At 60.7% G+C, this 24951-nt stretch overlaps 3 protein-coding genes, 1 long non-coding RNA gene and 1 other non-coding gene across 10 annotated transcripts in view, besides 22 other annotated features; 1 reads left to right on the forward strand and 4 right to left on the reverse strand.

Moving 5' to 3' along the window:
- The window catches only part of SREBF2 (sterol regulatory element binding transcription factor 2), a 74201-nt gene extending 68949 nt beyond the window's left edge, over positions 1-5252 (forward strand). For all 3 annotated transcript variants that reach the window (NR_103834.2, NM_004599.4, XM_011530347.3), the window contains 3 exons: positions 917-1102; positions 2810-2921; positions 3387-5252. Coding sequence is in view for 2 of the 3 variants with exons in the window: in NM_004599.4 (NP_004590.2) it covers positions 917-1102; positions 2810-2921; positions 3387-3607 (519 nt within the window). In the remaining variant the exon portion in view is untranslated. The remainder of the gene's footprint in view (positions 1-916; positions 1103-2809; positions 2922-3386) is intronic.
- Positions 5570-6237: an enhancer, noted in NCBI's record as "H3K4me1 hESC enhancer chr22:42303627-42304294 (GRCh37/hg19 assembly coordinates)". NCBI's record gives its function as "activates a minimal SCP1, AML or CMV promoter by ChIP-STARR-seq in naive H9 embryonic stem cells {active_cell/tissue: H9 hESC(naive)}" and the evidence as "EXISTENCE:reporter gene assay evidence [ECO:0000049][PMID:30033119]".
- Positions 7490-13021, reverse strand: SHISA8 (shisa family member 8). Of its 4 annotated transcripts, none has more exons than NM_001207020.3 (4): positions 12085-13021; positions 9163-9296; positions 8355-8501; positions 7490-8094 (listed from the first exon to the last, which is right to left on the reverse strand). In NM_001207020.3, the coding sequence occupies exons 1-4, from the start codon at positions 12612-12614 to the stop codon at positions 7712-7714; spliced, it is 1194 nt and encodes a 397-aa protein (NP_001193949.1). In that variant the 5' UTR covers positions 12615-13021; the 3' UTR covers positions 7490-7711. The 4 variants fall into 4 exon arrangements, with proteins under 4 accessions (NP_001193949.1, XP_006724319.1, NP_001340368.1 ...); XM_006724256.5 differs by having other exon boundaries at positions 8355-8666; NM_001353439.2 differs by having other exon boundaries at positions 8355-8678.
- Positions 8050-8099: a silencer, noted in NCBI's record as "silent region_13802". NCBI's record gives its function as "represses an Ori minimal core promoter by ATAC-STARR-seq in GM12878 lymphoblastoid cells {active_cell/tissue: GM12878}" and the evidence as "EXISTENCE:reporter gene assay evidence [ECO:0000049][PMID:35858748]".
- Positions 9130-9219: a silencer, noted in NCBI's record as "silent region_13803". NCBI's record gives its function as "represses an Ori minimal core promoter by ATAC-STARR-seq in GM12878 lymphoblastoid cells {active_cell/tissue: GM12878}" and the evidence as "EXISTENCE:reporter gene assay evidence [ECO:0000049][PMID:35858748]".
- Positions 12220-12329: a silencer, noted in NCBI's record as "silent region_13804". NCBI's record gives its function as "represses an Ori minimal core promoter by ATAC-STARR-seq in GM12878 lymphoblastoid cells {active_cell/tissue: GM12878}" and the evidence as "EXISTENCE:reporter gene assay evidence [ECO:0000049][PMID:35858748]".
- Positions 12322-13247: an enhancer, noted in NCBI's record as "H3K27ac-H3K4me1 hESC enhancer chr22:42310379-42311304 (GRCh37/hg19 assembly coordinates)". NCBI's record gives its function as "activates a minimal SCP1, AML or CMV promoter by ChIP-STARR-seq in primed H9 embryonic stem cells {active_cell/tissue: H9 hESC(primed)}" and the evidence as "EXISTENCE:reporter gene assay evidence [ECO:0000049][PMID:30033119]".
- Positions 12400-12479: a silencer, noted in NCBI's record as "silent region_13805". NCBI's record gives its function as "represses an Ori minimal core promoter by ATAC-STARR-seq in GM12878 lymphoblastoid cells {active_cell/tissue: GM12878}" and the evidence as "EXISTENCE:reporter gene assay evidence [ECO:0000049][PMID:35858748]".
- Positions 12620-12699: a silencer, noted in NCBI's record as "silent region_13806". NCBI's record gives its function as "represses an Ori minimal core promoter by ATAC-STARR-seq in GM12878 lymphoblastoid cells {active_cell/tissue: GM12878}" and the evidence as "EXISTENCE:reporter gene assay evidence [ECO:0000049][PMID:35858748]".
- Positions 12740-12809: a silencer, noted in NCBI's record as "silent region_13807". NCBI's record gives its function as "represses an Ori minimal core promoter by ATAC-STARR-seq in GM12878 lymphoblastoid cells {active_cell/tissue: GM12878}" and the evidence as "EXISTENCE:reporter gene assay evidence [ECO:0000049][PMID:35858748]".
- Positions 12880-12959: a silencer, noted in NCBI's record as "silent region_13808". NCBI's record gives its function as "represses an Ori minimal core promoter by ATAC-STARR-seq in GM12878 lymphoblastoid cells {active_cell/tissue: GM12878}" and the evidence as "EXISTENCE:reporter gene assay evidence [ECO:0000049][PMID:35858748]".
- Positions 12980-13139: a silencer, noted in NCBI's record as "silent region_13809". NCBI's record gives its function as "represses an Ori minimal core promoter by ATAC-STARR-seq in GM12878 lymphoblastoid cells {active_cell/tissue: GM12878}" and the evidence as "EXISTENCE:reporter gene assay evidence [ECO:0000049][PMID:35858748]".
- LOC124905125 (uncharacterized) lies at positions 14458-16609 on the reverse strand. The gene is made up of 2 exons (XR_007068113.1): positions 15397-16609; positions 14458-14983 (listed from the first exon to the last, which is right to left on the reverse strand). It is a non-coding gene; the product is annotated as an uncharacterized LOC124905125 (long non-coding RNA).
- Positions 15337-15396: a silencer, noted in NCBI's record as "silent region_13810". NCBI's record gives its function as "represses an Ori minimal core promoter by ATAC-STARR-seq in GM12878 lymphoblastoid cells {active_cell/tissue: GM12878}" and the evidence as "EXISTENCE:reporter gene assay evidence [ECO:0000049][PMID:35858748]".
- Positions 15627-15786: an enhancer, noted in NCBI's record as "active region_19138". NCBI's record gives its function as "activates an Ori minimal core promoter by ATAC-STARR-seq in GM12878 lymphoblastoid cells {active_cell/tissue: GM12878}" and the evidence as "EXISTENCE:reporter gene assay evidence [ECO:0000049][PMID:35858748]".
- Positions 15797-15886: an enhancer, noted in NCBI's record as "active region_19139". NCBI's record gives its function as "activates an Ori minimal core promoter by ATAC-STARR-seq in GM12878 lymphoblastoid cells {active_cell/tissue: GM12878}" and the evidence as "EXISTENCE:reporter gene assay evidence [ECO:0000049][PMID:35858748]".
- Positions 17001-17504: an enhancer, noted in NCBI's record as "H3K4me1 hESC enhancer chr22:42315058-42315561 (GRCh37/hg19 assembly coordinates)". NCBI's record gives its function as "activates a minimal SCP1, AML or CMV promoter by ChIP-STARR-seq in primed H9 embryonic stem cells {active_cell/tissue: H9 hESC(primed)}" and the evidence as "EXISTENCE:reporter gene assay evidence [ECO:0000049][PMID:30033119]".
- Positions 17547-18016: a silencer, noted in NCBI's record as "silent region_13811". NCBI's record gives its function as "represses an Ori minimal core promoter by ATAC-STARR-seq in GM12878 lymphoblastoid cells {active_cell/tissue: GM12878}" and the evidence as "EXISTENCE:reporter gene assay evidence [ECO:0000049][PMID:35858748]".
- Positions 18457-18536: an enhancer, noted in NCBI's record as "active region_19140". NCBI's record gives its function as "activates an Ori minimal core promoter by ATAC-STARR-seq in GM12878 lymphoblastoid cells {active_cell/tissue: GM12878}" and the evidence as "EXISTENCE:reporter gene assay evidence [ECO:0000049][PMID:35858748]".
- Positions 18617-18686: an enhancer, noted in NCBI's record as "active region_19141". NCBI's record gives its function as "activates an Ori minimal core promoter by ATAC-STARR-seq in GM12878 lymphoblastoid cells {active_cell/tissue: GM12878}" and the evidence as "EXISTENCE:reporter gene assay evidence [ECO:0000049][PMID:35858748]".
- Positions 19697-19746: a silencer, noted in NCBI's record as "silent region_13812". NCBI's record gives its function as "represses an Ori minimal core promoter by ATAC-STARR-seq in GM12878 lymphoblastoid cells {active_cell/tissue: GM12878}" and the evidence as "EXISTENCE:reporter gene assay evidence [ECO:0000049][PMID:35858748]".
- TNFRSF13C (TNF receptor superfamily member 13C) lies at positions 19979-24753 on the reverse strand. The gene is made up of 3 exons (NM_052945.4): positions 24585-24753; positions 24048-24278; positions 19979-23501 (listed from the first exon to the last, which is right to left on the reverse strand). The coding sequence occupies exons 1-3, from the start codon at positions 24718-24720 to the stop codon at positions 23314-23316; spliced, it is 555 nt and encodes a 184-aa protein (NP_443177.1). The 5' UTR covers positions 24721-24753; the 3' UTR covers positions 19979-23313.
- Positions 20217-20266: an enhancer, noted in NCBI's record as "active region_19142". NCBI's record gives its function as "activates an Ori minimal core promoter by ATAC-STARR-seq in GM12878 lymphoblastoid cells {active_cell/tissue: GM12878}" and the evidence as "EXISTENCE:reporter gene assay evidence [ECO:0000049][PMID:35858748]".
- Positions 21169-21244, reverse strand: MIR378I (microRNA 378i). The gene has a single exon (NR_039760.1). It is a non-coding gene; the product is annotated as a microRNA 378i (primary transcript).
- Positions 22980-23481: an enhancer, noted in NCBI's record as "H3K4me1 hESC enhancer chr22:42321037-42321538 (GRCh37/hg19 assembly coordinates)". NCBI's record gives its function as "activates a minimal SCP1, AML or CMV promoter by ChIP-STARR-seq in naive H9 embryonic stem cells {active_cell/tissue: H9 hESC(naive)}" and the evidence as "EXISTENCE:reporter gene assay evidence [ECO:0000049][PMID:30033119]".
- Positions 23482-23981: an enhancer, noted in NCBI's record as "H3K4me1 hESC enhancer chr22:42321539-42322038 (GRCh37/hg19 assembly coordinates)". NCBI's record gives its function as "activates a minimal SCP1, AML or CMV promoter by ChIP-STARR-seq in naive H9 embryonic stem cells {active_cell/tissue: H9 hESC(naive)}" and the evidence as "EXISTENCE:reporter gene assay evidence [ECO:0000049][PMID:30033119]".
- Positions 24074-24813: a silencer, noted in NCBI's record as "silent region_13813". NCBI's record gives its function as "represses an Ori minimal core promoter by ATAC-STARR-seq in GM12878 lymphoblastoid cells {active_cell/tissue: GM12878}" and the evidence as "EXISTENCE:reporter gene assay evidence [ECO:0000049][PMID:35858748]".

Raw genomic sequence — 24951 nt, forward strand, 5'->3', positions numbered from 1 at the left:
ACAGTGTAGGCAAGGATCAAGGCCTTGTGCAGGGACAGGGCAGGGTCTTCCTCAGGCCCAGTGTCCTGGGAAGGAGGAAAGCCAGGGCTGGGTGAGATGAGGCTCAGCCTGAGGGAGTTCATCAGGACCGGAGGGCTGCTTGCGGCCCATCTCAACAAGGACTCCTCACTGCTCGGTGTCGTGCAGGTGTGCCACTGCGAGCCGGGTGGGCAGCCCAGCCCCATAGGTCGTAGGCAGAGAGTATGCATGGCCCACATGCAGTACCTTCTCATATGATACAACAGCCCTGTGATGGTGCCATTTACATTTTTTTGAATGAAGAAACTGAGGCTCAGAGAGACTAAGTCCTATGCCAGGGTCATGTAGCTAGTAAGTGGCAAAGCCGGGTCAGTAGGCCTAGTCCCCAAGCACTAAGGCACTCTGTGGTTCTGTCTTCTGAGACACCTGTCTCCCTCTCCCACTCCTCCTCCTCCTTCCCCCAGCCCCATCGACAGGCTCTGCTGCCACTTCAGGCTTTTCCTTGGTACCTTGTGGGTATCTCAGCCTCCTAGCCAGCCATGGTGGGACTCCCATGGGGTGGAAGAACCTGCGCCTTCAACCCACAAGGGTTTTATTTCTGCCCCTGCCACCTGCCTGTGCTGTATTCCCTATACAAGCTGCTGTCCCTGTCAGAGCCTTGCTTTCTCACCTGCAGAATGGGGAGGGCTTGTCTCCCACCTCCTGGGGCCATGGAAGGAACTGGTTCTCCCCTGAGCTGTTCCCTCACGTCCTGCGGAGTTCACCAGACTCTGGGGCTCTCCACTTCCTCCCAGAGCTGCTGAGTGTTGGTCTGGGGAGAGGCCTGGTAGGTGCTAGGATCCTTGCCTCAGGGATGGGCCAGTCACCTGTCTCCCCTCTCTCGTGGCTGACCCCACAGGTGGTCCAGCTGCTCACCTGTGACCTGCTACTGTCGCTACGGACAGCGCTCTGGCAAAAACAGGCCAGTGCCAGCCAGGCTGTGGGGGAGACCTACCACGCGTCAGGCGCTGAACTGGCGGGCTTCCAACGGGACCTGGGCAGCCTGCGCAGGCTGGCACACAGCTTCCGCCCAGCATACCGCAAGGTGAGGCCCAGCTGGCTGGTGGGGCAGGGCAGATTGGAGCCTGTGGGGCCTGAGCCCAGAACCCAGCATGGGCACCAGCATGTGGTTGTGGAGTTGGCCCTCTGAGGTCAGCCTGGTGACCTGTCGAGCACCTGCTTGGCTCGTGCCCAACACTGGGCTAGGCGCCATGTGTCCCTGTGTTCAGCACACATTGGTTGAGTGCCTGCTGTATGCCTGGCCCTGGAGCTCAGCAGGGAGCAGGCCACACTTTGCTGCCACAGACAGGGGCCAGCAGGGAGCTGTGCCTCCCCAGGCACATGCTGGGTGGGAGGGCTCTGAGGGCAATGGTGGCAAGTCAGGGCTCCTGGCCTGGTCCCGAGCTCCACGTTGACTTTCATTCTTTTTCACAGTAGCTAGAGGCTTCGGTTCTGCTGCTGGGTAACATCCCCTTGGCAGTGGCCACGTGATCTGAACTAAGTCACGGAGGAAAGTTCTATGACTGGGCTTGCCAGGCTCCAGCTATTTCCTTTTTTGTTTATTTGTATTGCTATATAATGTATTCAACATATTTGTACCTGTATTTTTTTCTAAAAATTTGAGTGAGATGACTCAAGTGTCATTGAGGGGGCACGGGCTGGGCTGGAAGAAGGCCTCAGAGCGAGGCTGCTGCCGTGGAGCTTGGGATTCAGCCCCCACACCCATCACCCTGAGGTGCTGCGGGGCCCACCCAGGGTTGCACTGTGGCCACTGTGTGCAGCAAGCCAAGACAGACACAACAGACAGTATCATCGGAGAGCCATTCCTTACTGTGGAGAAGAGGGCATGTACCCCAGGCCTGGAGCGGCACCCCTGCCTCCTGGAGCCCACTCTGGTCAGCTCTCTGGTCTGCTCACAGCATGGCTGGCATCAGTGGCCTTTTTTTCATAATAGATGGGGTCTTGCTATGTGGCCCAGGCTGGTCTCAAACCCCTAGCCTCAAGCTGTCCTCCTGCCTCGGCCTCCCAAAGTGCTGGGATTACAGGTGTGAGCCACCTCGCCTGGTCCAAAGGCCTCCTCTTAAATACCATTTCCATTCTGCTGCTCCCTGCTGAGAGCCCATCAGCGGCTCCCCATTGCCTACCAGGACCAGAATCCACTTGGCAGCACTGAAGACCCTCCCTGAAGACTGAGATATAAAGGCATCAAAAAGAGCTTGAGATTTTAAGAAATGACAGACCTCAGCCTTGCCCTTCACCCACCAGTGGCTCATACCTAAGCGCTGCAGACTTTACCCGCACACCTCTAGACTCTCTTCCTTTCTAAAGATACGGAAAGAGGATACCAAACCTCTCTGGTACCAGCCCAACTGTCCCTCCTCACCCCTCTGTCCCTGTCACACCTGTCCTTTTGTCAAACTGCAGGCAGCCTCCAGGGCCTTGGGGCTTCACCCAGGGCACTTGTCTACCAGCCCCACGAGGTGCGTCCAGGGCTTTCTTGTCACCAGTTGGGAAAAGCAGGCCTTTTGCCTCTCTCTCCTCTCATCCTGCTCCTGCTGTTCAGCCAGGTTTCCTGCCTGGCTCAGGGTCAGAGTACGGGACAACAGAGGTTGCTTTTCAGGGGTGAGCAAGGCAGGGTGGTGTGGGAAGGGATGTCATGAGGTGGCAGGCGAGATGGCTCAGGGAGAGCTACCCTGGGCATAGATGGGTGGGGACCAGGGGTGTGATGGATGTCACCCCGGCACCTCCCCAGGTGTTCCTGCATGAAGCCACCGTGCGCCTGATGGCAGGAGCCAGCCCCACCCGCACCCACCAGCTGCTGGAACACAGCCTGCGGCGGCGCACCACGCAGAGCACCAAGCACGGTGAGTCCACCCCTCCCCAGCTCACAGGCTGGGCCAGGCCCTGCGCCCTAGGAAGAGAGGAGAAGAGGGGCCAGCCCAGCTCCCACATCTGGCATTGGTGCCCAGCACACCTCTCGCCTCTCTGAGAATGAAAGAAGCCCGAGGCCGCCCTTGGTGGGTTGCAGGGGTTGGGGTGGTCATGGGTCATGCTGTGATCAGGGAAGGAGGGTTGGGGTGGCGTCCCAGCACAGGTGCAGGCATAGAAGCAGAAGCTCGAGCCAGGTCATGTGGGCCCATCTCAGCCCCACCACGGGCTGGCCGTGAGAGGCTGGACAAGTTCACTTCTTTTCCGTGGATTGGGTGGGGCAGCAGACCCCACCTCCCAGGATGGATGTGAGCGTTCAGTGAATGAGTCCAGGTAACGCCAAGGAACTGCACCAACTTCATGGTAGATTCTCGGTTGTGACACACATCTCCTTCCCACAGGAGAGGTGGATGCCTGGCCCGGCCAGCGAGAGCGGGCCACCGCCATCCTGCTGGCCTGCCGCCACCTGCCCCTCTCCTTCCTCTCCTCCCCGGGCCAGCGGGCAGTGCTGCTGGCCGAAGCTGCCCGCACCCTGGAGAAGGTGGGCGACCGGCGCTCCTGCAACGACTGCCAGCAGATGATTGTTAAGCTGGGTGGTGGCACTGCCATTGCCGCCTCCTGACCACCAGGCTCAGCCCACCCCTCCACCTCTCTCTCGATTTCTCTCTCTCCCCCTCAGCATCTTCCCGCTGAGAGTGGTGGGGAAGAGCCTTGTCTTCTTAGCTGTCACCTGCCGAGGCTTCTGGGCCACTCAGGCCAGTGCACCCCTGGGCAGAGCCCCTTAAAGCTGCTGTCACTAGATGCCCATGGTCCAGGGCCTGGTGGGCGTGAGAGGATAGGTGGCAGGGCAGAAACTGGGCAGCCCTGACTTGATAGCAGCAGGGGGAGCTCCCAAGCTGCCAAGCCCCTGCCTCCAGCCTTCCTGAGTTTCTCTCTCCTGAACCCTACTCTCTCCTTTTTGCTTCCTCAGTTTTTATCAGGCTTTCTCTGGGGGACAGCAGTCTCTGAGCACCAGGGAGCAGTTGCCCTCAGGCCTGTGCCCAGCATGCCCTCCCCTTTTTATACGAATGTTTTCTACCAGTGTGCTTGGGTTTGCCATGATGCGAGGCTGAGTTGCTGTAGCGTCTTGATTCTCTCCCTGGGTCTGCGTTCCCTCCCCTGGGCCTGACTGAGCCTGCTCATTGTTTTTCCCTTTATTACACAGGACAGCCAGGGGAGGAGGGGGGCCCAGCCCTGGGAGGCTGGTGGGAGGCAGGGGGCAGGCCTGCGGATGCATGAAATAATGTTGGCATTATTTTTTAATTTTTTAAAAAATAAATGGTATCTTATTTAATTGTCCTGTTCCTTCCCACTCCCCGCCTCCTAGGATGTTAGCCCAAGCTCAGGGTAGGCCCAGGGGGCTGGGAGAAATGAAGCCACCCATGGGGACTGGGGACCAGGGGCCTTCAGCATGGCTTCTAGGTTCCCTCCTCCCCCTACCCCATCTCCTACCTCCACAGTACAGACTGTCCCCAACTTAACAGTGGTTCAACTTAAACCATGTTTCAACTTTACAATTGGTCTGTTGGGGTATTAAATGAATTTGTGACTTAGGATATTTTCATTTATGATGGGTTTATCAGGAAGTAACCCCATGGTAAGTTGAGGCATATCTGTATATATTTAAACCTAATTAATTCTTGAGCTGAAAATAAATAAACCAGGATGGCAGGGACCAACCCCTAATCCCTCCCCAGCGGCAAGCCCCTCTTTTCAGAGTGGGCAGAGGGTTGCCTATGGTGGGCACTAGGAATGAGGTCCCCTGCCTCGATGCGGGTCCTAGGAGAAAAAGTCCTACTTTTCTGGGTCCCCAGGTGCAGCACCTCCCGGAGACTGTTTCTCCCATGGCCTCCTGAGTGATGGGCCCTGCCTCCCTGTGCCTCATCCTCAGGCTGGTTGGAGCAGAGGGTGGGCAGGAGCCCCAGCACAGACTGGGGGGTGCTCACAGCAGGGCCACCTTGATGCAGGCTGGAATGTTATCCCTGGGGTGTGCTTGGACCCCACCTGCTTTCTTTCTCTCCTGCCCCTCCCCTACTCTCACTGTAATTTATGGACCCTGCCCGCCTGCGTGTTGTGTGTATGTCCTGTGCCTTTTCTCACTATTGTTTGGGTGTGGGAGGGGGTGGTTTTTCACTGAAAAGGGGGGTACACCTATAGCTTTCTTGATGTTCAATCAATCAGTCACTGTGTCCCAGACATATTCAATAAACACAGATTGGTACCACCCAGCACGAGGTGTGTGAGGGTCTGTAGTGCGACTGCTGTGGTGCCCAGCCAAGGGGCTGCGTGACTTGGCAGGCAATGGGCCAGGGACTGAGGGCAGCCCCCCAACTGCTGAGAGGGCCCCTGGCTTCAGTCTAATGGGCCTCCCTTGTCCACCTTCCTTCCGGTGCCTGGCGCACCCTCCAGCCTGGGATAAAAGGGCTGTGGGTGGCACTTTGGGGGTCAGAGGTCACTGTATCCAGGTTCCAGCTTGTTCCCTGGATGTAATGCAGGCTGGCTGACAGATTTGGGGTGCTGACCCTCTCCCCCACTGGGTAAACTGCTCCTTAGTTTCTCCCTCCCTGAAGTCAGTGATCCTCTGAGCCAGGAGGCTCACTGGCCCACAAGTCAGATCCAAGTCCAGGTCCTGTGCTTCCCAGCTGGGTCACCTGGGGTGGGACCTGGCCTCAGTCTCCACTTCCACGTGTGCAGAATTGGGAAGCTAAGCTCAGCCATGAACTGCAGCTCCAAAGGCTTGTCTGCCAGGACTGAGTGATGGGATGCAAGTTTACAGCGAGTGCCTTGTGTGGCTGGTGAGGCCAGGCTTGGCGTAAGACACACCAGGGGACAGGACCACAGACTGGGATGGGAGTGCTGGGCCTCGTCGCAAGAGGAGTCAGGATGTGACTGAGCATGTGGCTGAATCCCTCAGCTATGAGCCACATCCTTCTCTGAAGGGTAGTCACAGCAGGCTACCCTGAGACCAGAGCAGCCCGGTGAGGCCCAATTGCAGCTGGTCCCGTGCACAGCTCCATCATTTTCAGGGATGGCCACTGCCCACAGCCTCAGCCTGGCTCCACTGGGATGGAGATCCAGGGCCCTTGGAACTGAGAATGAGCAGGGGGAATTGCCCACTCTTGGCACAGCCCAGCAGGGGGTGGGAGGTGGGGTGAGAAGCAACCAGATTCCTTTGTGAGTCTGTGTAGGCTCCATGCCTCAGCCCCCACCCTCCTCCAGCTCTGCACAGCTGTGGGACAGGGGCAGGACCGTGGGCCCAGAGCTCTGTCCTGGTGCTTCTAGGCCTTGGTTTCCTTAACAGCCTAAAGGGACAGGGAGGTGGACCCTTTGTGGCAGGAGCGGAGACCGGGCCTGGTGGGTTCTGGGGCCTCAGGGCAGCCCAACCAGCAGAAGGAAAGCTCCAGACTGTTTATATATACCCTGGGAACAGGGACCCCTCCCTACCAACCCTCAGAACCCTCCCTCCCAGCCAAACTGCCTGTTGCTTGCCATTCCAGCCGATTCACAGCAATTCGGGAGAGTCCTAACCTGGGAGTCTGCTGGGTGACCTTGGGCAAGCTACTTAGGTTTCAAAACCCAAATTTCCTCCTCTGTAAAGACACACCCACTTGAGGCGCTTGTGGATTTCCTGAGAAAGGCCAACAAATGGTGGCCATTGTTCTTAAAACAGTACACCACACTTCAGGTACTCAGGAGGGAAACAGACCCACCTGGGTGGCTTTGCTGAGGTCACACACCTCAACCAGCCACAGCCCTGGCCCCTAGCCTCCCCACATCACACACCTCAACCAGCCACAGCCCTGGCCCCTAGCCTCCCCACATCACACACCTCAACCAGCCACAGCCCTGACCCCTAGCCTCCCCAGTGTTACCTGGCGGAGAGGAACTCTGTGGAAGATGCACGCAGACTGCTAGCAGTGCTCTGGACCACAGCCAGGTGCAGGAAGCCCTCCCGGAGGGACACTGCCAGGGACCCTGCTCCAGCTTTTCCCCCATTTCCTTCAGAGAAGCTCCTGGGAGGAGGCGCCCCCATCCGGAGCACCAGATGTCCACACGGCCCACACCCATTAAGGGGGGTAGCCCGGGGCCAATCTGGCCAAGCGACCTGCAGGCCAGGGGCTGGCCCACAGCCAGTGGTCAGTGAGCATCAGCCAGGTTCAGCCAACTCAAGCTGCAGAGTGGCGGCTGGAGGGGGCTCACCTTCAGTACAGGGCATGGACCCCCCACTGGGCCTTGGACCCAACAGCCCTCTCTCCTGTGCCCGGGCCTTTCTATGGCTGAAGTCTAACTGTTCCCTCTCTCCCAGGGCTCCCACGGGGGTGGGCATTAACCCTGACATTCAACCCTGGCCCCCCTCTCCAGCCACTTCCCCCTGGCTCTGGCCGGTGCACTGGAGCAGTCCTCCAACCTTGCACTCGCCGTGCCCTCTGCCTGCACTGCCATCTGTACAGTCAGTGACCAATGGTGCCTCGCAGCCACGCTGGGGCTTCTTTATTCTCAGGGGCAGGAACCACATAAAAGGGCTTATTTACAAGACGAACCCGCGGCCTGCAGGCTCCAAGACACCACTGCCGTTGAGGCAGACAGAAGAGCTGGCCTTACGGCAGGCGCTCCTCTCCCTGTGGCCTGAGGCTCCGACGGGCAGACAGGACCCCAGCCCATGCCTCGAGGGCACCGCGGCCCCGCTTCACACGGTGACCTCGGTCTTGCTATTGGTCCTTAGGTACCGGGACCCGCGGCCCGCGCTGCCGTAAAGGCCGGGGAGCTGCGGGTTGAAGGTCTCAGGCATCTTCACACTGAACTGGCGCCGGGCCGCGTGCCCGGGTCGCCGGGGTACCTGGAAGGCCCGAGCCGTCGGGTGGCTGAGCGGGGCGGGCCGGGCCGGGCGACTGGAGGTCCAGGCGGCATAGGGGCCCGGCGCGGCAGGGGGCGCGTAGACCGGCGGGGCCCAGGGGCAGGCGTCCAGCGGCGCAGGCAAGTCCGGGGATGGTCGCGGAGCCCGCGCCGGGGGTTGCCGCGGGGACGGCTCGAGGGCGGGGAAACGCTGACAGAAGTCCCGCGGGGCGGCCTCTGCGGGGACAGGGCAGGGAAGAGTGACGCCGCGCCGAGCACCCAAGCTCAGGACTGGACAAGGGGTCCCGGCCGGGGACTGGGACGGGGACCGGGCCGGGGCGGGCCGGGGGCGGGGCCCGCTGGGGCGAGGGAGCCGATTGGCCGAGCGGCGGGCGCGCGGAACTGGGAATTTGGCGCTTGGAGCTGCGGCCCCGCGCTTCGCAGTCCGGGAGCTCGTGCGCCCAGGTGCCCTGACGCTGCCCGCACCCGCCACTCACCTGCGGCCTTGAGCGCGGCGGCCTTGAACGTGGCGTACTTGGCGTAGTCTGGCTGCAGCGTCAGGCTGCCGCCGCCCTGCAGCCGCGGGCCGCGCGGGGGCCCCGGGGCGGCCGACCCCCGGGGCGCGTTGTTGAGGCGCTTCTTGTCTGGAGCGAGGAGTGAGACGCGGCTCGGTCCGATGCCCCGGTTCACTCCGCCCTCGCTGTCACCTCTCCGTAGTCCTCTCCCCGAGGCCGTTCGGTGAGAACCTGGGGGACCGTTCTCCGGGCGAGGCTGCGAGCCAAGCCTGTCTTCGCCGCAGCCTCCAGCGCCTGGAACAGGGCCTGGCTCCGAGTCACGCGCAGCGGCGGCGGCAGCCAGCCCGGGGGGTGCCACCCTCATGAACGGCTCGCCCGGAGGCGACGCTCGAGCCAGGCGCGGAGTCCTGGGACCTGCTCCCGCCGAGACGGGGGATGTCTGAGGAACAGAACCCAGACGGGGCGTGGGGGCTGCCAAGCCTGCCTGCCTCTCGAGAGACCCAGGGGGAGGCTCTGGAGCCCGAGCCTCAGATCACAGCCCCGGCCAGCAAATCCTGCATCTGGAACCTTCCTCACACATCACAGCCCCCCAGACTCGAGGCCGCAGGACCCGTGGGGGGTCCCTTTCCACCCTGGCGAGCTGGCTGGCCGGTCGGGCCCCTCACCCGCAGAGGCCGCGGCTCATTTCCACCGGGGAAGCCTCTATGCCCCAGCCGAGGGACCGCCTCTCGGCCTCTCACGCCCCTCCGCGTGCTCCGCCGCCGCTCAGCCCCGCCCGCCACCGACTCACCTGCGCTGTTGTGGGGGGAGCCCCGGGGGAGGCCGTCCCCCATCTGCACCTGGACACAGCCACCCAGGGGTGGGCCCAGGGTGGGAGGCAGTGGCTCCTGGGGGCCCGGCTGCTTCAGAAGCTCTGTCAGCGCCCTGCGGGGACAGCAGTCAGGGGTGGCCCTCTGTCTCCCACCTCATCAAAAGCCAGCCCCGGCCACCACCGTCTCACCGTGTGGCCCTGGGCAGTTCTTTCGGCCTCTCCAGGCCGTCCTCTCCGGTGCTCGAAATCACGCACGAGTTTCCCCTCCCAGGCAGTATCTGCCAGCCTCACCTGTGGCCCCAAGACAGCTGCTTCCCAGAGCAGGTCAGGAAACTCTAATGAGGCTCCCCTTCCCTCCCCTCCCCTCCCTGGAGCCCACTCTCAGGGACCTTCCCCAGGTGAGCCTCCCCTCCCAATGCGAGCTTTCTCTGCTTTCCTGCCTCTTCTCCCAAAAAACTGCTACTCATTCTTCAGACCCCATCAGCGGCCTCCTCCAGGAATCCTTTTTTTTAATTTTTTTATCTTTTGAAGCAGAGTCTCGCTCTGTTGTCCAGGCTGGAGTGCAATGGCGCAATCTTGGCTCACTGCAACCTCCACCTCCCCGGTTCAAGTGATTCTCCAGCCTCAGCTTCCCTAGTAGCTGGGATTATAAGGTGCCTGCCACCACACCTAGCTAATTTTTGTATTTTTAGTAGAGACGGGGTTTCACCATGTTGGCCAGGCTGGTCTCCAACTCCGCCGGTCTCGGCCTCCCAAAGTGCTGAGATGACAGGTGTGAGCCACCGCGCCCGGCCCAGGATGCCTTATTTACCTGCCTGCCTAACTGCCCCTGCAGCCGCGGCTTCTGCTGGGACCTGGGATAAAGCTGCCATCACGGGCATGAAGGACAGATGGGTGACGGAATGGGGATGTTGGGAGACCCCCTGGTGGCAGCCCAGGACCCACAGGCTGTGTGACCTTGGACAGCCACCTCCTTGGACCCAACACCCAGCCCCCACCCAGCTGTGATGTGACAGTGTCTGCAGCCCAGCTGCCTTCAGAACCCGGAACCCATGATTTTCTCCCACTCAGCCTGACCCTCCTTCCGGGGCTAGAGCCTCAAATGGCTGATTCGTGAAGGTCATTCAGGAGGCAGGACACCAGGGATGGCCGAGGTTTGGCTTCAGGTTTGGTGGCAGGGTCTGAAACCATCCTAGTACCTGCCTGGGCTGACCTTCCTGCCCTGCCCTCTCCCCAGAGGCTCACCTCTGTGGCCTCATCTCTGGGCAAGCACCTCAAGCTCCTGTCTCCCTGACAGCTGAGTAACCACCACGCCTCTGGGCCTTTGCACAAACTCTTTCCAGATGCCCCGCCCAAGCCCTCTGAGAAGCCTTCCCTGGCCTTCAACCCCAACACAGCAGAATGAAGGGTGAGACTCGAGGGGAGGACAGGGACTCAGGACACACCCACACACAAGCCTACGTCCCATTCCAGGTCTCCCCAGCAGAGAAAAGGGAGTTGGGGCCATGGGAGCCTGAAGCCCAGAAAGGAGAAGGGACTGGCCTACACCACACAGCACAGCAAGGGTGGGCATGGCTTTCCTGCGGCATCACCAAACCTGCTGCCCCATCCCCAGCAGGTGCAGGGAGTTCAGGATGAACATGTCAGCTGGGCTGCTGCAGCCACCCCTCACCATCGCAGCCCTAAGTTCCTTTTTCCCCGCCCCTGTCAAAGACATATCCAGGCCTCTTCCAAGCTACCCTCACCCATCATGGGGGACCCCCAAATTTGGGCAGCCCAGCCCCTACCCCTGCAGCATCCAGAAGCCAGGCCAGGAGGCTCCACCTCCTGAAGGCAGTGCAGAAGCTGAGGGTGGAGGCCAGGGTGCCAGCCCGGGCTTCCCTTAGAGCTCCCTGGGAGAAAGTGGGCTACGTGGTTTCGGGAGCGAGGGGTGCTGAAGTGCCAAGGAAGCCCTCACCCCCTGCCTCTGAGGCCCAGGAGGGGGAAGTGTCCACATCTGGCCTGCCAGGGTATGAAGGCTTCTCTATGGTCACTTTTAAATACCAGCCTGTCACATTCGGTGTCAGCAGCCCACAGGCCCAAAGGGTGCTGGGACCGGGTGGATGAGGAGGGCACAGGCCCCAGGGCATGGGGGTTGCTGGGGGCATGTGAGTGCCACGTGTGGCATGTGGGTGGGAGTTCCAGGGTCAGGACACATAGAGTCCTAGAGTCCTCGTTCCAACCGAGGAAGGGGACCTGGACCCTGTAGTGCCCACTTCACACCAAGCTCAGAATGCAACAAGCACCTGTCCTGGCCTCAGCAACACACGACTGTGTTCCAGAGTCCCCTTTCTACGCAGAGGGAGCCCTGACCTTCACCTGGGAGCTGTGGCATGGGGTGAGTGGGGGGAGGCCTTTGAAACCCAAGGAGGGAAGGGCAGCCTTGAGTCACAGCTGTGGGGGCAGGGGAGAGGCAGGAGGTGGAAGAGGGGAGGGAGGAGTGGGGAGAAGCAGGAGATGGGCACCCAGAGAACCAAGCGCCCCTTCCTTTCCCGTGCCCAAGACGCCCGGTCACCTCCCTGGCCAGCGGCGCCCCTTACCCTGGACAGTGACCCGGTGCCCTCTGTGCAAGGCTACCTGTCCCCCTCCCAGCCCGCCCCCACCCCCCTGCCCTCCAGAGGAGACTCGAGCAGGGAAAGGCGGTGCGGCGCCCAGCACGGGCAGAAGGTCAAAGGGAGTCAGGGCGGTGTCAGGTGTCTCCCTGATGAAGTGTTGGGGGGGCGGCGGGGGGAGAAGGAGACAGGAAAACCCAGAGAAGGGGCCTGCTGGGAGAACCAGCGCTTCGAGAGCGGCGGGAAGGATCAGCGGGCAGGGAGAGCAGTCCGAGGAGCAGGCGGGGGTCCCTGGGCGGCGCGTGCTCACCTGGTCACTGTGCGCCGCGCGCGCGGGCTGTGCGCCCTCTCCAGTCCCAGGCGCGCCCCGATGCCGGCCAGCACCAGCAGCGCTGCGACGCCGCACACAGCGTAGACGGCCGTATGGCTGCGCTCGCGGCCGGGGTCCCGGGGCGCTGCGGTGTCGCGGGCGCGGGCGGGCGGCCGGCCTGTCTGGACCCAGGCCGGCGTGTCGTAGTTGGAACAGCGGCTCTGGTCGAGGCGCCGCGGCCCGTCGTGGCAGCAGAAGCGGTAGCCGCACGTGCCGCAGCAGAAGCTGTAGGCTCCGGAGCTGCAGTTGAAGGGCGGGTCCCACTGGCCCATCACGTCGTAGTAGCCGCGGCAGCGGTCGCCCCCCTCCGGGGCTGTCGTGCCGGGCGCCGCGGGACCCTGCGCCTCGGGGGCTCCCGCGCGGCCCGACGGCGGCCGCGCCAGCAGCAACGCGAGCCGAAGCGCGAGCGCGAGCCGGAGGCCGGGAGGACGGCGGCCGCCGAGCAGTCCCCGCGCCCCGGCCCGCGCCATCGGGCCCGCGCCTCCCGCTACTGCGCCCGGTGCATGGCCGGGCGCCGCGGCTCCCTCCGGCTCGGCTCCTCCGCTCCCGCAGGGATCGCGCTGGCTCCCGGCGCACGCCGCCTCGGCCGTCGGCCTCCTCTGGGGACCCCAGCCCCGAGTGGGCTGGGTCTGGAGCTCCGAGGCCGCACCTCCGGTGGGCGCGTCCTCCGCCCGGGCTCACCTCGGACCCGAGCTGCCCGGTCCGCGTCCTGAGATCTTCCCCGGGCCGGGCGGCGGGTCCTCGCCTGCGCGCGGCCCCCGGCTTCTCCCCGGCCCGGCAGGTGTGCGGGTCTTGGCCCTAGCGGAGGCCGCGCCGGGGCCGCGGGCCGCCCGACTGCGCTACCTTCCCGCCGCGCTCTCAGTACAGCCCGCGCTCTGGCTCCGGCTCCGGCTCCGGCTCCCGCTCGGGCTCGGCGCGGGCTCGGGCGGGCGGGGGAGGGAGAGAGGAGGGAGGGCGGAAGGGAGGCAGAGCCGGGGGAGGAGCGCGGCTGCCGCGAGGGGCGAGAGGAGGCAGCAGGCCCCGCGGAGCCGGGAGGCCCCACAGGGAACCCCCCTCCACAAAGACTGCCCCGAAACATTCATCGGAACTGGGCGCTCGAAGGGGATCAGTTCTAGGGCCCGCGACTAGAGCGTCCCTGTCTTACAGGTGCGGGGACCTGTACCTTACAGGCGCGGAGGTCAAAGCAGCCCGGAATTGCCCCGGGACGGGCAGGGCCACCCTCTCACCTCCTTCCCGTCCCCTCTGTCCGTTCTGATCATAACATAAGGAGGGCCCCTTCCCCTCTCGGCGCCTCGATTTTCCCACCTGTCAAATGGGAAGGACTTCCCCTGGCAGCGCCGCTTCAGAGGGCCAAGGATTTACCCCACGGCGCGAGCCCAGTTCCAGAACCCCTCGAACGCTGGGCTGGGGTCCAGGGATGTCCCCATCCCTGCGTCGATGGGCACGGCTTGGCTGACGCACTTCCGCGATCTGCTCCCTCCCCAGGTGTGAGGAGAGGGGGACTGGGCTCGCCCCTGCCCTGGAAAAGGAAAGCCTGGAAAAGGAAGACCTCCGCCCTGCGCCCACCCGCAGGTCCTTTCACAAACCGAGGGGTAGGGTGTGGGGGCCCTAAGGAGCCCGGACCCGGTCCCAGCACGGCCCAGTGGTGTTTTCGGGGTTGAGTTGAACTGGAGAAGGTCCTGGTGCTTGGCTTCTCCCTGCCTCAGTATCTCATCTTAACATCAAAGACTCTTCCTGGAGGGCAGACTCATAATCTGCCCCTTCCAGGAGATAGGGGTCGATATGGAACCTCCCTCTGTCCAGACGGAAACAGCAGGAGGGCAAGGACTGGGCGTGCAATTCACCCAGTGTGCAGCTCAGGCCTCTGTCGGCATTTGCTGAATGAATAAATGAATGAAAGGACTCCAGCGCCTAGTTTCTGTGAGATGAAACATTTGGGGCTCCCTAGGGTCCCTCCTGGTCCCCTTTCCATCCGTCCTTCTCTCAGCAACTGGGACCAGCTTATGAAAGTGGAGAAGGTGGGGGAGAAGAAGAGGAAGGATTTACATTTTAAGGAGGATCAAGTCTGTTGCCTGACATGAGGGGCTGACAGACTAATTTCAGGTATTAATGGGTTCAGACAGGAAGAGGAGGTGACCTCCCCACTCAGAGCTTCTCCTTGTGCCCTGGCCAAAGACAGCCTGCTCCCTCCACCTACACACACACATGTGCACACACATGTACACACACTTCCCATCCAGCCCCGAAAACCCACCCTCATTAAAGGACCCCTTATTACCAGTTTAGAAGAAAAAACACAGATGAACAAAGGAATTAAATGAAATTGCTTTAATCCCATGTCCAGAGACAACCACACTAAAATATGCCACATTTACATGCTGGATTGTAACTAGTTTGTGGTTTACTTTTTGCCATCCTTAAACTTTTCGTTTGGCTGGGGGCAGTGGCTCACGCCTGTAATCCCAACACTTTGGGAGGCTGAGGCAGGTGGATCACAAGGTCAGGAGTTGGAGACTAGGCTGACCAACATGGTGAAACCCCACCTCTACTAAAAATACAAAAATTAGCTGGGCATGGTGGCATATGCCTGTAATCCCAGCTACTCGGAAGGCTGAGGCCAGAGAATCGCTTGAACCTGGGAGGCAGAGTTTGCAGTGAGCTGAGATCACACCATTGCCCTCCAGCCTGGGAAACAGATTGAGACTCCGTCTTAAAAAAACAAACAAACAAACAAAAAAAAAAAAACAAAAAAAAACCTTCTCATTTGTGATTCTTCTCAGAGCTTCTGAGCTCTACTTTCTGGAGCGTCCTTTCCTGCTTCCTTTCCTTAGGGCCATTCCTAGAAATGGAATCCGTGGCACAACCCGTATCACTGGTATTGAAGTCCCCACCGCCCTCTGCCCACTGCCCTGGAGGCTGCAGGAGCTCTGAGGGGGGCCTCTTCTCCCACCTTTCCCACCCGTTGCCGGGCACTGGGTTGAAAGAGGCTTGTCTCTGCCCCCTTGGAACTGGGGCCTCTTCCAAGTTAGAGTGAGGGGTCAGAGCAAGTCTCCCAGTGCTCCCCCTTCCTGGACACCCTCCTGCCCCCACCGTCCTGGCACTGGGTGCTTTCCTCATGTTGACCCCATCAGGCCTTCACATACATATACATAGTGACAGCCATTTGTCCAATGAAGGAAGTGGATTCCAGCCCCTCCCAGGGACTGATGTCCAACCCCCAACACCACCCCCCACCCCCCACCACACACACACCTTCCTCCCCGTCTCAATCTGATTCAGTGGTCAGCCAGCAGCCATAGGTAACCATAACTACTGGGTCTGTGCCAGGCACTGGATACCCTCTTCTCTCCATGGGAACACCTGGCCGCGGGGAGTGAGTGGAGCAGGAGAGGGCAGCTGTGAACACAGAGCCCAGCTGACCCTGACTGGCTGAGTCCTGGGATCTGATCGCCCATTCAGCTGACACTGCCCCAGGTGCCTGGCCATGTGCCGGGTGAGGGGATCTGGAGATAGAGCAGCCCGGCCGAGGAGTGACCCCTTTGCCCTGGACCCCGGGGTCTCTCACCCCATCAAGGCTCCAGGGCAGCCACCCCTTATCTCTTCTGCCTGCCCCCCTCCACTACCACTAAGCCTGTGTCACCAAAACTCATCCATTGATCCAGGCTTAAAATAACCCCTGGCATCTGCAGCAAGCCCCGCGGGGCGGGCAGAGGAGCCGAGTCCCTGCTCCTGAAGGGCACCCGCCCCGCCCCCAGCTCCCAATGCTGGCAGCTCGAGTGTGCGGGTGTCTGCGCGTGTTTGGGTGACAGCAAGAGTGTGCATGTCTGGGGCTAGCATGACTATGAGGGCCTTCCCTGCACGGTGGGCATGTGTGTGCACACGTGTTTGTCAGCATACATGCTCCTGTGCACGAACGGCCTTCCTCCATGTCCAGCCCTCACCTGGTGCTCAGTTCTGGCTGGGGAAGGCTGGGGGCCCTGAGAGGTGTGGACATGACAAACAGCCTGTGCTGGGCCTCAGTGTCCCCATTTTAGGTGGTGGGTGACCAGTCTGCCAGCTCTGCTGAGCCCTGGGAAAGGTTTGGGATTTCCTAGAGAGAAACTCAAGACTCAGAGAGAGGAAGTGACTTGCTGTGACTGGCACACAGCCAGGAAGGGCAGGGTCTGGCCTGGAACCTGCACTATGAGTCCCGAATCCACATTCTGGCCAGTTCAGCACACCCGGGAGGCACTCCTACCCCACGACAGGGCCCTTGCCAACACCTGACCCAGGCTCATTTGCCCCCTGTCTGGTCACGCAGGCTGCCCTCTCTTCCTGGAACCCCTTTCCAGCCCCACATGCCCAGAGTTTCTAGGTTTTATTTATTTATTTATGAAACGGAGTCTCTCTGTGTTGCCCAGGCTGGAGTGCAGTGGTGTGATCTCGGCTCACTGCAACCTCTGCCTCCTGGATTCAACCAATTCTCCTGCCTCAGCCTCCCGAGTAGCTGGGATTTATAAGGACCCGCCACCATGCCTGGCTAATTTTTGTTTTGTTTTGTTTTGAGACGGAGTCTCACACTGTCGCCCAGCTGGAGTCCAGTGGCGCGATCTTGGCTCACTCCAACCTCCGCCTCCCAGGTTCAAGCGATTCTCCTGCCTCAGCCTCCGGAGTTGCTGAGATTACAGGTGCACGCCACCACGCCTGGCTAATTTTTGTAATTTTTAGTAGAGACAGGGTTTCACCGTATTGATCAGGCGGGTCGCGAACTCCTGACCTCAGGTGATCCGCCCGCCTCGGCCTCCCAAAATTCTGGGATTACAGGCGTGAGCCACGGGGCCCGGCCTAATTTTTGTATTTTTAGTAGAGACGGGGGTTTCACCATGTTGGCAGGGCTGGTCTCGAACTCCTGACTTCAAGTTATCGGCCCGCTTTGGCTTCCCAAAGTGCTGGGATTACAGGTGCGAGCCACTGCGCCCAGCCTTTATCCTTTATTTTGGAGCCAGGCTGACCGGGTTGGAATTCCTGCTCTTCAGGGCCATTCAACCTTTCTAGGCCTCAGTTTTGTCATCTGCAAGATGGGCTACCAGCATTTCGGCAGGGTTACAGGGAGAAGCAGTGGGCCCCAGAGACACTGAAGCCAGGCTGAGAAGACCGTGACCGCGGATGCCACCCACAAGCCTCCAAGGCCTCATTCCTAAGCTAATTTCACTTCCATTTCCTCAATGATGCAGTTACCCAAGAAGCAGAGGCTCTTGGGGACTCTGGGCTCCCTGCTGGTGCAAATGCCGATACCAGGAGGGGTTCTGGAGGGAGGGCCCACGGCTGTCTTTGTCTCCCGCGAGGCAACTCTGACTCAGGCTCCAGCTGCCCGTGGGAGGGAGGGGGCGCCCGGGCTCCTGAGGTCGCCAGGGAGCGGCGGGACTGGGAGGCTCCAAAGCCCTCAGTGTACGTGCGAATCCGGAGCGGACACCGAGACCTTAGCGCGGGAACCAAGAGAGGACAGAGCTCCACGGAGGCCACAGCGCGTGCACGGGGACAGGTGCGCCCTCCCCGGCAGCCCCCCTGCTCCTCGGTCACAGTTCTGTGCGGAGGCGTCTTGCGCCCTCCCCCCTGAGCCTCGCCCTTGAGTCGGGGCCGTGGGCCGCATCCAGGCCCCCAGGGCTCGGGATGCGCGTGAGGACCCGGACTCCCGAGGGCGCAGAGGTCGGGAGCCCGAAGCAGGCGCCCTTGGCCTTGGTCCCGCCCCTTATCCGGTCCCAAGCTTTTTCCTCGCCCCTTGGCCTTGACTCCACCCCTTAGGCATGCCGCTGGCCCCGCCCCTTTCCGGCCACCTTGAGGCTTGGGGGTCCCTCAGCCCCGCCTCTCTTCTTGACCCCGCCCCTTGGCAGCACCCCCTACCCCCGCCCCACGTCCAAATCTCCCGGGGCCGGTGGTGGCCGGGGCTGACGGCGGAAGCCGCGCAGAGACTCGCTTGCCCCGAAGTCGCTGGATTCGGGCCTGGATCCCAGATTATCCGCAGCCTAGGGGAGTGGAGAGATGCCCAAGGTTCCTCTGGGTCCCGGGACCCCAGTAGCGTCCCTCCCCCCGTCCCCCACGCCAACCACTGAGCGCCCTTCGGAGTCCCGGGAGGAAAGCGTAGGGGCGGGGAACTCTGGCATCTCTCTCCTCCCGGTTGCTCCCCGACTCTGCCCCGCTATTCCGCTATTTGGGGCAGTCGTTTCTACCGCACCCCCATTCTCTCCCCACCCTCGGGTCATGAGGGCAGGACCAGGCCTGCTCACACCTCCCTGCTGGGGGCGTTCCCTGGCTCTAGCAGGGGTCCCTCTGTCCCTACATGCCACAGGACCTCTTCAATCTCCAAGGACAGCTAGGTGGGCCTCAAGAGCCCCATTTTGCAGATGGGAAGAGGGGCCCAGAGAGTTGAGGCCCAGTGAGATGCTACCAGCTTGCAGGGATAGTGCTGTGTTGAGCCATCCCTGCTGAAACGAAAGTGGGGGGTCAGGCCTTCCTCCCTGGCCTCACCAGCTGGGCCTCCACAACCCCTCCTGGAGCCCCCAGCCTCTGGCTACCAGGCAGGAAGTGAAAGGGGCCTGCAGGAAGCCCCAGGAGGAAGCGAGACTTCAGCCAGGCCTGCCCCCACCGGCCAGGGCCCTGGGGACCTGGTGGGAATCAGACCCTCCTTCAGGAAAAGCTGGCCCGAAACACAGGCTCAGAGAGAGGCCTTTTCCCTTCAGTTCCCACCCGCAAAACGGCGCTTCCAGAGTCTGTCTGGGATCCCTCTTATCAAAATGAGAGAACAGTTGGGGAGAAAATCTGAGTAGTGATGAAACCAGGGAGTGGGGCCTGGCATCAGTCCCCGAGTTCTCCGCTCCCAAGGAGGGGGTCCGGGCCAATGACATTCTGCTGGGCAGGCATGGCCGCCAAGCGCAGGAGCCCAGGGTTCGCCCAGCTCCACCACCCACCTGTTGTATCTTGGGCCGGATCCCATTACCTCACAGGGCCTCTCTTTTCCTATCTGCAAACTGGACCATATAATCCCTCCTCATGGATGTGAAATGGTCTAGATTTTCAGGAGAAAATTTGGACCAACAGGGACCTTTAAAAAGGTCAAGGCTGGGCCGGGCACGATGGCTCACGCCTGTAATCCCAGCACTTTGGGAGGCCGAGGTGGACGGATCATGAGGTCAGGAGATCGAGACCATCCTGGCTAATATGGTGAAACCCTGTCTCTACTAAAAATACAAAAAAATTAGCCAGGCGTGGTGGCGGGCGCCTGTAGTCCCAGCTACTCAGGAGGCTGAGGCAGGAGAATGGCGTGAACCCGGGAGGCAGAGTTTGCAGTGAGCCGAGATTGCACCACTGCACCCCAACCTGGGCGACAGAGCGAGACTCCGTCTCAAAAAAAAAAACAAAACAAAAAGGTCAAGGCTGGCTGGGCGCGGTGGCTCATGCCTGTAATCCCAGCACTTTGGGAGGCCAAGGCGGGCAGATCACCTGAGGTCGGGAGTTTGAGACCAGCCTGGCCAACATGGAGAAACCTCATCTCTACTAAAAGTACAAAATTAGCTGAGTGTGGTAGTGCATGCCTGTAATCCCAGCTACTCGGGAGGCTGAGGCAGGAGAATCGCTTGAACCTGGGAGGAGGAGCCTACGGTGAGCCGAGATTGCACCATTGCACTCCAGCCTGGGCAACAAGAGTGAAACTCCATCTCAAAAAAAAAAAAAAAAAGTCAAGGCCTTTGGCGCAACAACTGTGCTGGGAAACAGAGACTCCTGCACAGGCGCATGTGGCCTGTGCCGTCTTGGCCACAACAGCAAAAACCAAAGTATCCAAATGCCCAGGTGGAAAACCTTACCATGTTGAAAACTTTATTGTGGAGTCTCTAAAGAGAGAGAAACTTACCAAATATTAATATGATGGTCAAGACATGAATTTGTATGTATAGAATGATTACAATTATGTAGAAAAATACACCACACACTCGAGGCCTGGGGTTACTGGACACGGGTCATTTCTTCCCTGACTACATCATGGATTCCGGTCCAGAACTTCCAGATTGTCTACAAAATGCCTATCTTCATTTTTTTCACAAAAAAAAATTTAAACAAACACAAACACCCCACCCCCCTCCTCCAGGTGCTCTTATGAAGATCAAATGAGGTATTGATGTGACGGCTCTGGGTCTCAGTTTCCTCGTCTGTTAAATGCATATGAGAATTATCTAAGGTTCCTTCCTGCCCTTCTCTGGGGACCACAGGCCAGGAGGAGAACCTTGCATACAACCCCTCATTTTTCAGAAGAAAAAACTGAGAACTCAGGGGAAACTTCCTACCGGCTGGCGGGGCCAGCTGGGACAGAGAGATGCCCAAGGTTTGCATGTCTGAGCCCCAGAGGGGTTTCACCCACCCTCGGGGTTTTCACCTGCTGAGCTAACCCTGGCTGTAGCAAAAGATGGGGTGGGAGATGGGGGTGTCCAGGAGAAGATGGGGTGGGGGAGATGGGGTGGCCAGGAGAAGATGGGGTGGCCAGGAGAAGATGGGGTGGGAGATGGGGTGGCCAGGAGAAGATGGGGTGGGAGATGGGGTGTCAAGAGAAGATGGGGTGGGAGATGGGGTGGCCAGGAGAAGATGGGGTGGGAGCTGGGGTGGCCAGGAAAAGATGGGGTGGGGCAGATGGGGTGGCCAGGAGCAGCTCAGACTCCCCCAACTCCAGATGGAAGGGGAGTGGATGGCTGGGCCCATGTGGGCCTGACCCCACCAAACCTCTCCCACACCTACTGCTTGTCACTTGACCTCACCCTGTCACCTGGCTCCCTGGGGGCAGGGGCATCTGAGATGGGTTCATGGAGCAAATAGCCAGGCAGAGACCTGGATGTGAGTGGCCACTGTCTTCCAAGCTGGGCACACAACAGGTCCTTGGGACAGGAAGCACTGAGTCCAGAGGCCTGGCAAGGGACAGGAGGGGCAGGAGAAGCAGGGGTCTACAGGTGGCTCTGGTGGCAGCTCAGGGGGAGGCAGGCAGAAAACATCTGATGCACAGAACAGAACATGCCCAGGGCCCAAGAGTGGGAAAACAGCACCCAGAACTCCACCTTCTGACTCCTAGTCCAGTGCTCCCTTCCAAAGATGCTAAGCTGCAACAAGTTCCAAGGAAGCTGCCCAGGGCGAAGTCCAGGTCAGGAGGTTCTGACCCTGTGCAGGAGGGCAGGTAGGAGGCGGCTGACTGAGTGCACAGTGTCGTCCAGGAGTGGAAAGAGATGGTCTTGTCCCCAGACCCCAGAGCAAGGAACACCATTGTAAGAGGAGGGAGCAGCTTCCACTGTGACGGTGGGTGACCAGGGGGCTGGCACAGGATGGCCAAATAAGCCCAGCACTGGGGGGCCAGTGCTTCAGGGGAACAAGCCAGAGAGAGAAGGGAGTTCAAGGGACCTCATGTCCACCTGGTTCAAGGTCACACGCCTGCCCTGGCCTCTACACAAAGGAGCCTCCTGTAGGTCCCAGCCCTTCCATGTTTATGGCTAAATGTGCTGTGTCTTGGAGCAGCTGGAACCCCAGGTGGACCCTGAGAGAGCTACCTGCCAGCATGTTCCTTCAGCTCGAGTTTGGAGTCCAGCCCTGGAGGCTGCGCACCTCCTCCCAAATGCAGGCTTGTGGCTCTGGAAGCTGCCACTGGGGTCAAAATGGCATCTTAGGTTCTGGCAGATTGGGCCAATCTCAGGGTTGACCCTGGGGTACAGATACCTGAGAATCAGCAAAATCCAGCTCAATCTTTTCTCCTTTGTTATTTCTTAAAATAATCTTGTACTAAATCCCAAAGCAAGCGAACCCATGAATTGATTATTCACTGCTGCCATTTGCATCAGTTTAAAAGCAGGACGGCTCTGAGGGCAGGTATTAAAGAAATAGAGGCCAGGCCCGGCGCCTCCTGCCTATAATCCCAGCCCTTCGGGGAGGACTGCCTGAGGCCAGGAGTTTGAGACTGGCCTGGGCAACATACCGAGACCCTGTCTTTAAAAAAAAAAAAAGGCCAGCCACGGTGGCTCACGCCTGTAATCCTAGCACTTTGGGAGGCTGAGGCGGGCGGATCACGAGGTCAGGAGATCGAGACCATCCTGGCTAATACGGTGACACCCCGTCTCTACTAAAAATACAAAAAAAATTAGCCGGGCGTGATGGCGGGCGCCTATAGTCCCAGCTACTCAGGAGGCTCAGGCAGGAGAATGGTGTGAACCCAGGAGGCGGAGCTTGAAGTGAGCCGAAATTGCGTCACTGCACTCCAGCCTAGGCGACAGAGCGAGACTCTGTCTCAAAAAAAAAAAAAAAAAAAAAATTAGCTGGGCAAGGTGGAGCACCTGTAGTCCCACCTACTCAGGAGGCTGAAGCAGAAAGATTGCTTGAGCCCAGGCTGCAATTAGCTGGGGACCCATCGTTGCACTCCAGCCTGCGTGATACAGCAAGACCCTGTCTCAAAAAAAACCAAAACACAAAACAAGGCCGGGCATGGTGGCTCATGCCTGTAATCCCAGCACTTTGGGAGGCCGAGCAGGGCGGATCACGAGGTCAGGAGATCGAGACCATCCTGGCCAACATGGTGAAATCCCGTCTCTACTAAAAATACAAAAATTAGCTGGCTGTGGTGGTGCGTGCCTGTAATCCCAGCTATTCGGGAGGCTGAGGCAGGAGAATCACTTGAACCAAGGAGTCGGAGGTTACAGTGAGGCGAGATCGCGCCACTGTACTCCAGCCTGGCGACAGAGCAAGACTCGTCTCAAAAAAAAAAAAAAAAAAAAAAAAAAAAAATCAAACAAACACAAAAAACCACCCAACTACAAATTAGGCATCCTCCCACTTGGTCTTTTTTCAGATTCATTTTGGCTTAATGGTGCCTTCCCCATTTTAAAAGCGGTCTTTTACTCATAGTGCCCCAGCCTTTTGAAGGCACAGGAACAGGAGCTGGGCTACCACCTTCAAGGGCTGTCAAAGATGGTGAGGTCTGAAGCCAAAGGCAAGCACACCAAACTCCATGGGGGCTGAATGCTGTGGTCTGTAGTGTCTGTGCTTCTGCAGAGTTAGCCTGGTCCCAGAAAGAGGGCATGTGCATGCTGGAGTGAAGAGCTGAATTTGATTTCCAAGCCCCTGGCTGGGGGTCCAGAGGGAGGGCAGGGGCCACCTCCTGCCGGCTCCCTGCTATTGTTGCTCAGGGCCGGCCGTCTTGGTGGTCACCAGTTCAGTGGAGCCCAGCTCTGTGGCTGGCACAGGGACACTGTGGCCAGGTGGGGTGGTTCCTGGGTCTTCCCCAGGAGGAGGCCAGGCAGGAGCTGTGGCATCAGAGATTCCCGGAGACAGAATGATGACCTTGTCCAGGGGCTCTGGGGCTGCAGGCAGAGGGGGTAGAGGCTCCGTACTCAGTCACAGCCTTCCCTCCCTCCCCTAGAAGACTCCTCTGGAGGGGCAGTCCTCCGTCAAATGAAGCCCAATGCAGGGTGGGGAGGGGTGGCACCTGGCTGACCCTGAGTCCAGAGGCCTGGCCAGTGGGGAGCTGGCAGGGCAGGGAGTTGGGGAGCTGGGGCTCAGTCTGGCAAACTCTTCAGGGATTTATGGGGGAACCAAGCTCCGTTAGACTCCCAAAGGGCAGGACAGACTCCTCCCTCAGACGGGGCCCCCTTCCTGCAACCTGTCTCTTCCTCACACTGGGGTCTGTCAGGGCAGAGCTGTTCCTGGCTCCGACCAGGGTCTCAGGGGCAGGACTATGTCTCCCTCCCCAGCCTGAGCTCCTCAGCGCAAACTCTTTTCCACTCTGTCTCCGTTTCCCCTTAAAGCCCTTCTCTCCCCCTCAGGGGCCATGCATCTCCCCCTAGACCGTCCCGACACCCCAGCCCCTGCGCCCCGCTCAGACTGGTTCCCCTACACACGGAACTCACCGTCCTTGTCTCCGTCGGGGGCCTCTGCGGAGGACGCGCCGCGAAGCCGCCGCTGTCGCCGCCTCCAGCTCACCAGACCCACCAGGACCAGCGCCAGGACCAGTGCCAGGCCCAGCAGCGCGGGGGCGCCAAAGAGCAGCCCGGGCAGGGGCAGCGCCGCCTCGCCGGCCCCCGCGCCCACCGACTCCTGCGGCTGCAGCGCCGTCCTGGGCGCAGGGCTGCTGGCCCCGGCTGCTTCGGGAGGGGACAGGGAGGGAGGCCAGGGGGCCGAGGGGAGGGAGGAGCGGGGACGGGGAGGGGCGGAGGGGGGCGAGGCTGGCCGGGGAGGGGAGGGACAGCCGGGGGGCGGTGGACAAGGGGAGGGAGAGAGGCGGCGGTGAGGGCCACGCGGTGATCGCGGGCCCCTCCAGGCCCTGCCCACAGGGTCCTTTCAGCCCTCGGCGCCCCCGGGGGTCGGGGCTCTGCCTGCGCCCTGGCGATCGGGGCCCCGTTCTCCCCGCAGCTGCCGGCGCCGCGCGCCCCGTGGGTCCCCCTTACCCGGTTTCGGCCGCGGCGTGCGCAGGAGCCCGCAGGCCACGCAGTGGCGGACCAGCAGGTCGAAGCACTCGGCCGGGACGCAGGGCGTGGGGGCTGGCGCGTCCCTGCCCCGCAGGCTCCGGGGCCCTCGCCTCATGGTGCCGACGCCGCCGCACAAGCTGCGGGGACTGAGGCTGAGCTGGGCTCCGGGGCCCTCGGGGAGGAAGCGGGGGGCGGGGGGAGCACTCTGCCCTGCCCCGCCCCCGCCTGCTGGGTGGGACCGAGCTCGCCTGGGGCCCCCCTTTCTTTTCTTTTTTTTTTTTTGAGACGGAGTCTCGCTCTGTCGCCCAGGCTGGAGTGCAATGGCGCTATCTCGGCTCACTGCAAG

The sequence above is a fragment of the Homo sapiens genome, chromosome 22, assembly GCF_000001405.40.
Source record: "Homo sapiens chromosome 22, GRCh38.p14 Primary Assembly".
NCBI classification, from domain to species: domain Eukaryota; kingdom Metazoa; phylum Chordata; class Mammalia; order Primates; family Hominidae; genus Homo; species Homo sapiens.